Source organism: Homo sapiens, chromosome 8 (genome assembly GCF_000001405.40).
Source record: "Homo sapiens chromosome 8, GRCh38.p14 Primary Assembly".
Lineage (NCBI taxonomy): Eukaryota > Metazoa > Chordata > Mammalia > Primates > Hominidae > Homo > Homo sapiens.
In genome coordinates this window covers 20,078,483-20,093,531 of record NC_000008.11, presented here as the reverse complement: position 1 = coordinate 20,093,531, position 15,049 = coordinate 20,078,483, and the positions used below count along the sequence as shown (strand labels likewise).

Below are 15,049 nucleotides of genomic sequence, written 5' to 3'. Positions count from 1 at the left end.
ATGATATCCTAAAAGTATAAATTTCTTTGTTATGTGAACACATGCGTTTTTGGTTCTGTTTTATTACGATTTGTGTTGAGTCATTTCAAAATTGTGGATGACCTAGTTTCAAAAATGGAACTGGACAACTAATTTCTGTAAGAATCCCTATGGAGATGAACTTCTGTGGTTTTTATTTAAGACATTTTAAAAGCCAAAAGACATGTTCCAGAAGACAAATAGAACATAACTTTGGCTTGGAGACAAAATATAATATTTACCAAAAAGACTAAATTGTTTATGTGCAAATGTGTGTGAATCCATTGCCCCAAGAGATTCCATTTGTGGTTAATTTCCACTCATATGACTTTTCCAAATAGGATTCTCCCCTGAAGTGATGCCATTGTAGACTAATTTAGAGTGGGAGCATCCTTAGAGAGCCTCAGGGTCTCAGAGTTATCACTAGAAGATTTGGTTAGGAAAAATACATCATATGGGGCCCTCTAGGAGTTATCATCTGGATGAAACTCAGCTCAGATGAAATTCAGGGAAGCGTTAGAAAGAAAAACTATCCTAAAATGGCTAGGTAAGGGAAGATGCATTCATTTATTCATTCAACTAATATTGAACTCCTACAAAGTGCTAACTCAGCACTGTGCTGGGCACATGGGCTCCATCAGTGAACAAAACCTAGAATGATCACTGTCTTATGGGGCTTCCATTCACATGGAAGGTGGAGGGGCGATCCATGATAAGTAAATGAGATAATTCTGGGGGCGATAGGTGTCTTGAAGAATGAATCAGCTGGGTGAGAGTGACAAGAGAGAGATGTGATTCTAGAAAATGCACTCAAGGAAGCCCCTTTGACATAGTTGTCATCTTCACTGTTAGACCCTAATCAATACTCTTAATCAATAGAAGAAGCAGAAGCCTGAATCCCCGAGGATGGAGTAGAGCAGATATCCAGGGAAAAAAACATTTGGTCAGAGAGGAGAACAAGAGGGAGCTTGCTGGGGGATGGCCAGTGATCAAGTGATGTAAGTACCTCCTTGCTCCCCCAAATCACGCCCTCTAACAACACAACCGCAATCGTATCTTTTGTCAGCTTCCAGTTGTAGGAATTGCTTATGAGTGAATAGGATGAGCAGGAGAAGGTGCATGGTGGAGAAATTAGGTCAGCAAGACAGTTGCGGTAAGATTGTGGAAAGCCTTGAAGTCTCGTGCAAAGGGCTGTGAATTTTATTCACTCTGAGATGGGGAGCCCCTGGAACATATTCAGTGATAGCTTCTGGCTCATGGTTTTTGTTTTTTTTTTTTAAGTTTAAATGTTTTTAATATTTACTCTCGAGGTGTGTGAAGAATAAAAGAGAGAGGTGGAAGCAAGGAGACCATTTGGATATTGCAATAATTTAGTGATAGCTGATGGTGGCTTCTCTTAGGATGTAGCAGTAGAAATAGAATTACTCACCTTCTGGATATATTCAAAGAGAGAGTCAACAAGATTTCCTGGTTGGATGGATGTGGGATATGAGAGAAAGAGAAAAAGCAGCACAATTTCTAGGTTTTTAGCCTGATTAAACGGAAGAATGGAGTTACTGCTTTCTGAGATGGGGAAGATCAGATGGGAAACAGACACTTGGGAGATTAGTCAAGAATTCAGTGATGCCCATGCTAAGTCTGAGATGTCTATTAGACATACAAGTGCAGATGCCTAGTGGATAGCTTGCTATGTGAGTCTAGAGTTCAGTGCGGAGGTCTTGACTGGAGAGATAAAGTTGAAAGTCACCGATCTGTATTTGAGGCTATGGGATAGAATAAGATCAGCTGGGTAGTGAGTGTAAAGAGAAGTTATCTGAGGACTGAGCCCAGGGCCAGAGGAAGGATGATGAGGAACCAGCACAGGATGCTGAGACAGAGTAGGTACAGATCTAAGGGGTCAAAAGCTACCCCCAACAATAGCCAGGCCAAAAGACTGTTAAGGAAGAGAGGGAGTGATCACTTCTGCTGCGGGTAGTTGAACAAGCAAAGATCTCAGAGTGTCTGAACTTTGGATCTGGCACGTGAGGCAGTTGTGGAATTTGACAAGAGCATTGTCCATGGACTGGTGTAGATGAAAGGTTGACTGGAGCAGATGTAAAAGAAAAGGCAGGGAAGATGGATTGAGGGAAGGACCTGGAGACACTACTTACAGACTACTCTCCCTTTGATTGTTGCTGTAAGGGGGAACAGAGAAGTGGGGTGGTGGCTAGGAATGGATGTGGGAAAAAGTTATTTTAAATTACAGAATCTTTGTATATTGTTGATAATAATGATCTAGTAGTAGGAGAAATGATGATGGTAAGAAATACAAGGAATAATTACACAAGTAATGCCCTTGGGCAAGGGAGAGGGAAGAAAATCCAGCATGTAGGCCAGGCATGATGGCTCACGCCTGTAATCCCAGCACTTTGGGAGGCTGAGGCAGGCGGATCACCTGAGCTGAGGAGTTCAAGACCAGTCTGGCCAACGTGGCAAAACTCCGTCTTTACTAAAAATACAAAAATTAGCTGGGTAGTGGTGGCATGCACCTGTAATTCCAGCTACTTGAGAGGCTGAGGCAGGAGAATCGCTTGAACCCAGGAGGTGGAGGTTGCAGTGAGCTGAGATCACACCACTGCACTCCAGCCTGGGTGACAGAGCAAGGCTCCCTCTGAAAAAAAAAAAAAAAAAATCCAGTGTGTATCTGGAGTGCAGATGAAGGCGTTTATGGGAACATGGACAGGTAACTCCACTGTAACAGGCAGAGACATAGCACAGATGTGTAGAAGATTTGATGGCAAAAGCTGGCCTTGTTGGGCAGACAAGATCTAGTTTTTTCAGTGGTTTGCAACTCCAGCTACATATTAAAATCACACGGTGACATTAAAAAATACCAATGAGAAATGCAAATTAAACCACAATAAGACACACCTGTGAGTATGGATAAAATGAAAAAATACCGACAATACCAAGTTCTGATAAATATTTGGAACGACTAGAATGGCCACACATGGTTACTGGGATTGCAAAACAGTGCAGCCACTTTGGGAAACAGTTTGGCAGTTTGGTAGTTTCTTACCACTTGGCCAAACAATTTCACCCTACAGCATGGACCTGAGAGTTCTATTATAAATAACTAAAGACCAGAAGTAACCCAAATGTTCGTCCACAATCAGCACTGCTGGCTTAGTGGTATCATGGGAGATTCTCCAAAGTCCTTCAACAGATGAATGGATAAATAAACTGGTGCATCCACACAAAAGAACAATACTTGGCAGTAGAAAGGAACAAACCCTTGATCCACACAGCAGCTTGGATTGATCTCAAGTACATTACGCTGAATGCAAGAATCCAGTCTCAGAATGCCGCATGCTTCATGATTCTATTTACATCCCATTGCCAATAGACAAAATTACAGTGATGGAGAACAGACCAATGGCTGCCCAGGGTTGCAGGGGAATTGAGTATTTCACTATGAAGAGGTAGCTTGAGAGGGTAATTTGGGGTGAGGGAACAGTTCTGCATTCATGTATTAAAACTCATACAATTGTACATCAATTAAAAAGGCAATTTTAGGCCGGGCGCGGTGGCTCATGCTTATAATTCTAGCACTTTGGGAGGCCAAGGTGGACAAATTGCCTGAGTTCAGGAGTTTGAGACCACCCTGGACAACATGGTAAAACTCTATCTCTACTAAAATACAAAAATTAGCTGGGCAAGGTGGCGGGCACCTGTAGTCTCAGTTACCCTGGAGGCTGAGGCACAAGAATCTCTTGAACCCAGGAGGCGGAGGTTACAGTGAGCCAAAATTGTGCCACTGCACACGAGCATGGGTGAAAGAGCAAGACCCTGTCTCAAAAAAAAAAAAAATTGGTAGATTTTGAGTAGAGCAAATGAACCTCTATAATGTGGTTGAGTGGGCTTCATCTAATTAGTTGAAGGCCTTAAGAATGAAAGACTGATCTCCTCCAAGAAAGAGAAAAATCCTGCCAGCTGACTGCCTTTGGACTGAAGCTGCAATATTATCTTTTTCCCAGGTCTCCAGCTTGGCAGCCTATGCTGAAGATTTTGGATTTGTCAGCTTCCACAATCATGTGAGCCAGCCTGGGTGTGCTGGCTTATGCTTGTAATCCCAGCACTTTGGGAGGCCGAGGCAGGAGGATAACTTCAGCCCAGGAGTTTGAGACCAGCCTGGATAATGTAGGGAGACTTTGTCTCTATTAAAAAAAAAAAAAAAAAAAAAAAAGACTCTTACTGATAGCAAGTACCCTGAGGGAGTGTGTGGTGGGTAGACTCCAATTTTTGCTGAAGGTGGCAGTGGAGACATCCCCCTTCCCCTGTTTCCAGGGCTGCCCCAAGACAGAGGGTCCCCTCTGCTGCCTGGCTGGCCTAGCCAGAGTTCCGGCTCTTCTGGAGATCCTGCACATCTCCTGAGAGCTTTGACTCAACCCCTTTCTTGTTTGAAATGTTTTAAAAATAACCATGCTTAAACTCCACCCAGCCCCCGCCCCCACCCCTGCCCCCAAATCCTTACTCAATTATTGGGGAGGGGAGGAAGATGGATTTTTTTTAATTTTTTTTTAATTTTTAAAGTGCTTTACAGGCAGCTATAATAGGCAGCCAAAGATAAAAGGCGTGAGTTCAATCAAGACAGTGAAGGCAAAATTCAGGAAGAGTTTTAGATTAAGTGGTACTTTCCTGATGAATGACAGCAAGTTGCAGAGGGCCTTGGGCCAGACTGTCAGGGTGTGCAGGCCCTCTGGGCATGGGGGTCTGGCCAAGACAGTCCGTCTGGGGATTTGCAGGCTGACCCCCACTGGGCACAAAAAGACTAACCCTGGTGGTCTTCAGGGAGATTGTGGCAGTGAGGCTATGAGGGTTGGGGAAGGGCCAGGGGTCTTGACTGAAGCACTGGAGCTTTATCAATCTTCCCTAAGCTATTCTAACAGCTAAGCAGTCAACAAGGGAAGTGCGGGGACGTGGTGGGTGCTCACTGTGGAACAACCAACAAAGGATGTGAGACAAGAGGGAATATCCTACCCGTTTCCTCTGACAATGGGAGAGGGTGGGTTATGGAAAGATCCTCTCTATGTGGTCATCCCCAACAAGGTTAAATTTACATGCTGAATACGGTCACACATTTAAAGTACTTAAAGCAGTGCCTATGGCATAGGAAGAGCTTAATTAATAAAGGCTAAGCAGAAAGTAAAAGAGATGTCTCTGAAAATGCTTTTCCTTTCTGTGTATCAGTGTAAGAATTTTTTTTTTTTTTGAGATGGAGGCTCTAAAAACAGGAGAGCCCTGTTGCCCAGGCTGGAGTGCAGTGGCGTGATCTCAGCTCACTGCAACCTCCGCCTCCCAGGTTCAAGCGATTCTCCTGCCTCAGCCTCCCGAGTAGCTGGGACTACAGGCGGGTGCCACCATGCCTGGCTAATTTTTTGTGTCTTTAGTAGAGACACAGTTTCACTATGTTGGCCAGGCTCATCTCAAACTCCTGACCTCGTGATCCGCCTGCCTCGGCCTCCCAAAGTGCTGGGATTACAGGCGTGAACCACCATGCCTGGCCCTGTAAGAATTGTTTGTCTTCAAAGAACTAATGTAGTTGACAAAGCCAGTGCATTTACCCATCAGATCTCTTTTCCTGCATCTCCTGGACCTGGGGTAGATTCTGTGATTTGGCATATTCTCAAGATTGATGGCAAAAAGTTTCCTGCAAATACATTCCAGAAGACCCATGATCCAGAACCCATTTCCAGGGCTCTGCATGGCTGAAAACATAGGCAGAACACGTGAGGAAATGTTCCACTGAGCTCAGCTCCTTTTGGAGTCTCCAGAGTTTGGGATTTACTGGTCCAAAGGCTGTGTCTCTCTCTATCTCTTTTATTTCTTTTGCATAATTGATCCCAGCAGAATTCTGTGAGAGGAGTAGGAAGACAATATGTCTTCCGTTTACTCTGATGGGCCCCTCACACATTGAAGTTTCTTGTTGAGTGCTATGAAGCAAGAATTTATGTCTGCTTTGGAGATCTTCTAGAACACGTATTGAGAATTTACTCCTTACTGTGTGTTGGGACCTGTGCTTGCTCTCATTCCTGTAATCTCATGATCTTTATGACAATCCTGTGAGGTAGGGTAGGGGAGTCATTAAGATTTTAAAGACAAGGAAGCTTAAATTTAGAAAGCTGCTCATCTAAGGCCATGGAGTGAGTTGGTAGCAGAGCTGGGATTTGAACTCATCACCTCCCCAACAGACCTTTCTTCTCCTCTAAGTGCTGTGACCCACAGCTGTGTCCTGGAATACAGTAAGCCTCTGTGGCAGTAAATGTCCCTTGGTATCCCCCTAAGTGCTGGCTTCCTCTTGGACTGGGCCGTCCAGTGGGAAGTGAGATTATGTTAGATCTACTCCCAGCCATTCACATCAGCGGCCCCATTTGTTTCCCAAGACTCAAGGGTCCCAAGGGTTTGGAAGCACAAAGAAGTGCCTCAGGATACCCACGTCCTGGCTCCCTAGACTGATTTGTCTCCAGGCGCCAGTGTCCTGACCCCTGGTATATCTGCATTCCTCATCTTCTTCTGTCTGTTGCAGGGACAGGAAGTGGGGAAATCACTGACCTTTGACTTAAGAGGAAACACGGAGAGAATAACAAGCAAATGCAAGATGACTGTTAATCAGATGATCCTGCCATCTCCAGATGGCTATCTCCATGCTGGGGGCAAAGGAAGGGAGCCTGCCGGGCCAGTCTGTTTTTTGAGGCGTGGCTTCTCTGTGGCTTTTGTGTGGGTTCCTTGGTCTGAGTACCAAGAAGCTGTTGCTTCCTGGGATGTTTAAAAATCAATCAAATATGGAACTTAAACACGTAATTCATCCAGGGAACCAAAGTGGCAAAGGTGGGGCTAAGAATTAGAACTGGGTTTCTTGTCTCTTTATTCAGTGCTCTTTCTGATAACAGTATAAAGGACAATTTCTGGAAATATTAAATTTCTATTTCGAAAACAATGTGAAGTTTTCTAAATAACAGGTGGAGATACTGCCCCCTGTCTATGAAGTTCCCAAAGCTGGGTCAAATTTGGAAGACATAATTTCTTACACTGATACATAGAAATAAAAAGTGTCTTCAGAGATATAATCCCTTTAATTTCCTCCCCAACCTTTATAACCTCTTACGGTGGGCTAGGCACTGCTTTAGCAATATAAACTGAGTTAAGGCATTTAATCATGTATGTAGTTTTAATCATGACCACATTAAAGATATTGCTGGAAAATCATAGCATTGGCTAACGCTCATGTCCAGATGCTGACAGAAGTGTTTTGCACATGTTACCTTATTTAACCAAAACTCCTCCTCTGAGCTCTAGACCCAAATCACCACCCACCACTTCAATATCTCCTGTTGAGTGTCTCAACAACACATTGAGTTAAACATGTCCTAACGGAAGTGTGTGCTGCCCCGCCCCATCCCAGACCCTCCCAGTGTCCCCTGTGGCAGTGAACAGCATCTATTAAACAATACCTAGACTGAGGAGTTGCCCTTGACTCCTCCCTCTCCCTTGCACCCCATTTCTGATCCATCACCAAATTCTGTGGATTTTATGGAACCCTATGTTTCTCTCAGGCCTATCCACACTTCTCTACCTGACTACTCTATTCCAAAATACCATCATTTCTTACTTAGATTTTGACGGAAGCCTCCTAACTGGTCTACCCATATCTACTCTTGTGCTCCTTGAAGTGTTTTCTAAATTGCATCCAAGATAATTTCCTTAATAAGACAAATATTAACATATTCTCTTTTTAAACACACATTAACAAGTCCCCACTGCTCTTAGGATAAAGACAAAACTCAGTATGGTGAGGAGGGCTCTGTATGGGGCTGCTGCCTCCCCTGCCCCCTTGGTTTCTATGGCATTCTCCTGCCTCTGCAGCTATACTGTACTTCTTTTAGTCTTGTTCCATATAATAGTCCCAACAGTCACAGGACCTTTGCACATACTGCTTCTCCTTGTCTAGTTAAATCTCTCGTCATTCATATCTCGGCCTTCCCTAGCCTTTAAGATTAATGAAAATCTCTCCCATTCCATCTTTTCATAGCATCAAGGACCTCTCACTTATAAGATTTGTCATAATTATTATTTTTATGTATTTATGTGGTTCATATCTTTCTTCCATAAGGGCAAGTGTATCTATAATTGCTCAAAATTGTATTCCCAGTGCCAAGAATAGTACCTAACCTATAGTAGATGCTCATTTTATAGGTGTTATCTGATAGACGAATGAAATGAATAAACAGATTTGCCCAGCATGGTAGAAATCTTATTATGCTGTCACTTGTATTTCAGTAAATTTTATACTGATTATAGAAAGCCTTCCTTCTGTAATATAAATATAATGGGGTCACAAGCTCAAATGCTACCAGGGTCAGGCAGGTACTGAAAATGACAGGGTAGCCCCCATCTAAAGGAGGCAACCATGGGGAATTATAGGCTTAGAGATTTTTCAAGAGAAACTATATATTTGAATTTTTTTCGCAAACTTTTCTTGTGGGTTGAAAAAATATTGGAGTGGTCAGAAAGATGAAGAAACGGAATGGGGAAATTTTGTTAAATGTTGCTTACAAGGTATAGTGGGTTGATTAACACCTCCCAAAAATTCATGTCTACCCAGAACCTCAGGATGTGACGTTATTTGGAAATAGGGCCTTTGTAGAAGTAATTAGTTAAAGATTGAGGTGAGGTCATATTGGATTAGGGTGGGCCTAAATCCAGTGACTGCTCTTCCCATAAGAAAAGGTGAGGACACAGAGAGCTTTACAAAGTCCGTGTGAAGAGAGGCAGAGATTGGAGAGATGTTTCCACAAGCCAAGCGTCAACCGGAAAACTAACAGAGCAGATTTTTTAAAACTAGGACTGAACATTAGTTGGATAAGACTTGGGTACATGGAAGTCATTAGAGGCCTTTGCTGGTGGCATGGTGGCATTCCAGAGGAGAGGTTTGAAAAGTGAAGAGGGACTGAGAAAGTGAAAGTCATTGTCTATTCCTGCCCTGACCCACCCATCCCCCCACACACCAGTCCCTGCTGTGAAAAGAGGCTTCTTGGTAAACCTGATGTCTAGGGGGTATTGCCTGCCTGCAGGTCTGTCTGAAACACACAGAGATGAGGGACTTCCAGTCCTTGGCCATCTCCCTGTGAACATGTGAGACAGGCTGGGTGCAGGACCAAGGAGAAGTTTGGCTCTGCTCAGGGACCATGACATGGCTCAGGTGAGAGAAGTGAAAGAACCTGGTAGCAGGAGGAGTTGGGGGAGCTGGGGACAGAGAGCAGCTGGGGAAACAAACGTGACTGCGGAGGCCGTGCCAGCCAGCATACCGCCAGAGAGCCCTAGGCACCGTCCTGATAGATATCAAGGTCAGGCAGGTTTAAGAAAAGCGCATCAGGAGGCCCAGCCAGTCAGCAGGAAAGCTGGCAAAGATTCCAAGCAGTGGTGATAAGAGAGGAGTCACGTGGATGTACCTTGTCGTTCTAAGGTACCTATTCTTGGCTGGACTCTGGCAGCAGAGGCATGTGGACTGGGATGTGGTGCCTTTAGAGAGGAGTCTGGGTCTAAGGAGATAGTGCTGGAGGAAGTCACCACTGCCCCAGGGGACCCCTGCGGTAAACTGATCGAACGGCAATGGGAGTTTATAGACTGTACAAATGACACTGCCAGCCATCAGAGATGGTGGAGCTCGGTGGAACATGACTGCTTTCCATCCCTTAGCCTGGACATCCCTGGTAAAGGTTAGGACCCAAGGATCAACATGATTGGCTAAACTTAAAGCAGTCATTCCAGCACTGGATGCTTTTAACAAGGTCTCTGTCTTGCCCTAAGCCTTAATCTGTCTTGGATAAAATTTGTGCTTTAGTTTGAAATTTGTGGACAGTGTGACTCAAGTGTCTGGGCCTCAGCTGGGATGGTTGGACCTCTCTTTCCCTCTGTGGGATTTCTTATAGACAGGGAGCCTATCCCAGGCCTCTTTGCAGCTTGGTGGTCTCAGGTTTCAAAAGGGTAAAAGTGGAAGTTGCAAGATCTCTAGAGGCCTTTCCCTGGTTTGTGCAATGTTGAACTTCTCCCTCTGTGAGATTTCTTATACTCAGAGGCTACCCAGAACCTTTTCAGAGTTTAGCGCTTTCAGATTTCAAAAGGATAAAGATGGAAGCTGCAAGGTCTCTTGAAGCCTTGCCCTGGTACTCACACTATGTCACCTCCCCACATTCTATTGGTTAAAGCAAGTCATAGCCCTGTTTCAAAGGGTGGGGAAATAGACCCAATTTTGATGGGAGGAGCTACAAAGAAACTGTGACCATTTGTCATCTACCACATCAAACCACTGTGTTCCTGGACTTGAAATCAGGTGCAGAATGATGTAAAAATCATGGGAAAATTGCTGGAGTTAATTCACCACGTAGGAGACATTTGGAGAAGACAGTATATTAACTAGTTCCTGCTACCCAGACCCTGGATGCCCTTTCCTGTGCTTTCCAACCCTGTTTCTTTGGCTTCTCCTTGGATTCTGTGAACTCTACTATATCTTTCTAAAAAATTCCTTTTGTAATTGACTTGGATAGATTGGTTCTGTTGCCTGCATTTAGTGAACCCTAGTATAAATTCTCCTTCATGGAGGTACTGTAGGGATCAAGTGAGATAATGTAAATAAGGCACTTAGTAGGGTCTAGGTCCATAAAAAGCACTTAAGACATTTAGTTATTATAATTATATTAAAGTGATTTGAACTTTCGGAAGGGTGACTAGAAAGAAAGGTATAAGTAAAGAAGTATGACATTAAAGAGTCTTGATCTAGGCCAGGTGCGGAGGTCGACACCTGTAATCTCAGCACTTTAGGAGGCTGAGATGGGTTAATCACTTGAGGCCAGGAGTTCAAGACCAGCCTGGCCGATAAAGCAAACCCCCATCTCTACCAAAAATTAAAAAAAAATTAGCCAGGGATGTAGTCCCAGCTACTCAGGAGGCTGAGGCACAAGAATCGCTTGAGCCCGGGAGGCAGAGGTTGCAGTGAGCCAAGATCACACCACTGTACTCCAGCCTGTGTGACAGAGCGAGGAAAAAAAAAAGTCTTGCTCTGTCTCCCAGGGACACTATGAGCATTGGCGGTGACGCTTGTCTGGCACCACATGCGGGCCACGACTTTTTTTTTTTTTTTTTTTTTGAGATGAAGTCTTGCTCTGTCACCCAGGCTGAAGTGCAGTGGCACGATCTTGGCTCACTACAACCTCTGCCGTCCGGGTTCAAGTGATTCTCCTGCCTCAGCCTCCCTAGTAGCTGGGATTATAGGCACATGCCACCATGTTTGGCTAATTTTTGTATTTTTAGTAAAGATGGGGTTTCAGCATCTTGGTCAGGCTGGTCTTGAACTCCTGACCTCGTGATCCACCCGTCTCGGCCTCTCAAAGTACTGGGATTACAGGTGTGAGCCACCGCGCCCGGCCAGGACTCTTTTTTATGACTTCTACAGACAGGCACAAAGAACCTCAGTCCAGTCATTGGGAGGCTTTACTGTTATTTTTATGTGATTTCATAGTAAATTTACTGTCTAGAAAAGAGAATAGTGCCTGCCCAGAGACTGCCACTTTCTATATCACAGTTCCTTCAGAGTGCTAAAAAAGACATTAAAGCAAATACTAGGAACATATTAACAATAGTGATCCAGACCAGGTATGCTGTTCTTGTTCTCCTGCCGATGAGATTTTATTCTCTGGCAGATTCACTCTTTGGGAGATCTGGTCTTTAAAAATCTGAAACAGAATCAGTAACATGGGAATGTAGTATATGATTATTAAAATAGCATCTCAACATCAGTGGGGGAAAGTACTACTCAATAAGTGATGATTGTGGGAATCATTTAGGGGTAAATGCCTCAACCACACACTAGGATTAACTCCACATAAATCCAATATTAAGATTTTTTTTCAAAGATTAATTAAAGGACTAGAGGAAAATACGGAAGAATTATTTTTTATGTCTTTGTAGTAGAAAAGCCTTTCTCAGTATGACTCATAATCAGTAAGACCTAAAAGACTGATAAATTTGGCAACACACAAATTTATTTGTTTGTTTGTTTGTTTGTTTATTTATTTATTTATTTATTTGAGATGGAGTCTCGCTCTGTCGCCCAGGCTGGAGTGCAGTGGCACAATTTCTGCTCACTGCAAGCTCCTCCTCCCGGGTTCATGCCATTCTCCTGCCTCAGCCTTCCGAGTAGCTGGGACTACAGGCACCCTCCACCACGCCCGGCTACTTTTTTTTCTGTGTTTTTACTAGAGGCGGGATTTCACCGTGTTAGCTAGGATGGTCTCGATCTCCTGACCTCATGATTCACCCGCCTCGGCCTCCCAAAGTGCTGGGATTACAGGCGTGAGCCACCGTGCCCGGCCCAACACACAAATTTAAAGAGTTGTTCATGATAAAACACACACACGTACATGTCATAGCCAAAGCTAGTTGATAAGTGACAAACCGAGAACAAATATTTTACAAACCATGTCACAGACCCAAGGTAAATCCCCTGAATACACAAAAAATCTCTAAAAATCAAAAAGAAAAAACAACCTAATGGAAAAATAAGAGGCAATTTAGAAAAAAGGAAATAATAAATAATTTCTACACATTGTCCATTTAGGAATAAACTTGTTAAACACACATATGGAAACATGCACAACTTAAAACTATACTGAGATAGCATTTTCACCTCTCATATTGGTAAAATCTTCAGGATTTGATAACACTCATAGTTGGCAAGGCTGTGATGAGGAAATTGGTACTTTCAGACATTTCTGTTGGGAGGGTAAATTAGCACAACCCTGTCAGAGGCCAATTTGTCAATAAATACTAAAATTGTAAATACCTACGCTTTCTGCCTGGGAATTATAGTTTTAGGAATTTCTACTACAAATACACTCACATACATATGGAATAACTTGTAACAACAAAGTTAAGAAGTAATTTAAATTTCTATCAATAGGGGACTGTTAAATTATGGAATATATATACAATGGAACTCATTCAATGGTTACAAAAAGAAACAAAAGAAAAGGAAATGAGAAAACTTTCTATGTACTGATGTGGAAGTTCCTTTAAGATTTCAAGGGAGTAAGTATGGAACAATGGGTATAGTGTGACATCATTTGTGGTTAAAAGGCGGAAAGGAGGGGATAATGTATTTTGAAATGGACAAATGCCTTTGTCTTCATATTTATCCAAAAGATCTGGGAGCTCACAAAAAACAACAAAAACCTAGTAACAGGAGGCAGTGGGAATTTGGAAGATGGGGAAGGGACATCTTTTACTGTTATTTTTGCTTCTCCAACTTCTTGAATGTATTGTTTAGCTAAGAAATAGTAAACATTTTGAAATCAAACAAACAAGAAAACAAATTAGGTTATTGTCTTTTAAGGAAGACTCAGGAATTCAAGTCCTTCAATGTATTGAAGCTATAATGAGAATAATTATGACTCTTACAGTGTAAGCCTATACATTTTACAAAATATCTTCTCCTCCGTGATAGCTCTAAACTGCACGATTGCTCCCTTAATTCTTAAAATGACTTATGAACCTGGTTTTGTTATCCCCATTTAGGAACCGAGAAAATTGAGCCTCTGAAGTTCAGCAATCCCCAGATCTCATAGGCTGACACAGAGCTGGAGCATAAGCCGGAGTCTCCTGGCTCCAGACTGACCTCCAACCATGACATGCTGCCACTGGGCACTTGGCCTCAGCTGGTGGCTGGGTGGCTGTACTCTGCACATTCCCATTGCCTGGTGGAATATATAGTACATACTGATTCTCTGGGGTGATAACACAGCATCTCCCCCACTTATCCACGGGGGATATGTTCCAAGACCTCCAGTGGAGGCCTGAAATCACAGATAGTACCAAACCTGATTGTAATCAATAGGAACACATTTCTGTTCCTGTCTTTCATTCACAAATGTAATTTTTTTTCCATCTCAAGCACTTACCGTGCACTGTGGCAGTAGCTTTTGCAGCAGCAAAACTAGCACAAATTTCTTTTTCCTTCTTCACAATTTCACAGATAGAAGATTCCTTCTTATCATAGATCTTAGCAACCTCAGCATGAAGTTATTTTTTTCCTTCCTTATTAAGTCGAGAACTTTCACTTTTCACTTAAAGGAAGGACTTTATGGCTTTTCTTAGGCAGATCCGAATTGTCAGCATCACTCCTCTTGTGGTTGGGGGTTATAACCATGTAAAATAAGAGTTCCTTGAACACAGCGCTGTGGATACTGTGATGGTTGATCTGATAACTCAGGCAGCACCCGAGTGACTCACGGTGGGGAGTGTCTATGGTGTGGATCTGCTGGACAAAGGGATGATTTGCATCCCAGGTGGAACAGAGCAGGATGACACGAGGTTTCATCATAATTTGAAACTTAGGAACTGGTCATTTCTGTAATTTGCCACTGTATATTTTTGAACTGCCATTGGCCACTGGCCACTGGTAACTGAAATATTAGAAAAGAAAACCTCTAATAAGGGGTGGGGGAACTACTGTACAGACATGTGTACCAGCCCTGTTCCAAACCAAGGCTCCTGGAGTCTCCTTCCTGTGCAGGAACATGATGTTGTTTTCCTGAACATAATACTGCTGTGATCTGTTAAACATCTGATTTCCCAAATGGACACTCCTAGCAGATGGCATCTTTGTCACCTAACTGAACCAACGATGGCACATTGAAACAGCTCCATAATTTCTGCCAAGGAGGGAAGCTGTGAAACTTGAAAGATGAATGAAGTTGAATGGGTGGGGAAAGGGAGCAGGCAGGTAGCGAGAGACTCAGTCTCTGCAGGGAGGATCCCAGATGACTCACAAAGTGTTAGTTCTATCATAGTAGGAACTTCAGAGATGGCACAATCCCCTTATTTTACAGATAGTAATAGAAATCTATTAGAATAATGAGGAGATATTAGGCTTTTGTGCTAGGTACAGTTTAAAGTGGTCCACATTAGTAACTCATCGAATTCTCACACCAACCTTGTG

General features: G+C 43.2%; 1 long non-coding RNA gene across 1 annotated transcript in view; it reads right to left on the bottom strand.

Moving 5' to 3' along the window:
- LOC105379311 (uncharacterized) overlaps positions 1-14,333 on the bottom strand; it is a 45,659-nt gene extending 31,326 nt beyond the window's left edge. The window contains exon 1 of the long non-coding RNA NR_188140.1: positions 14,010-14,333. This is a non-coding gene — a long non-coding RNA (uncharacterized LOC105379311). The remainder of the gene's footprint in view (positions 1-14,009) is intronic.
- Positions 14,334-15,049: the final 716 nt, after the last annotated feature.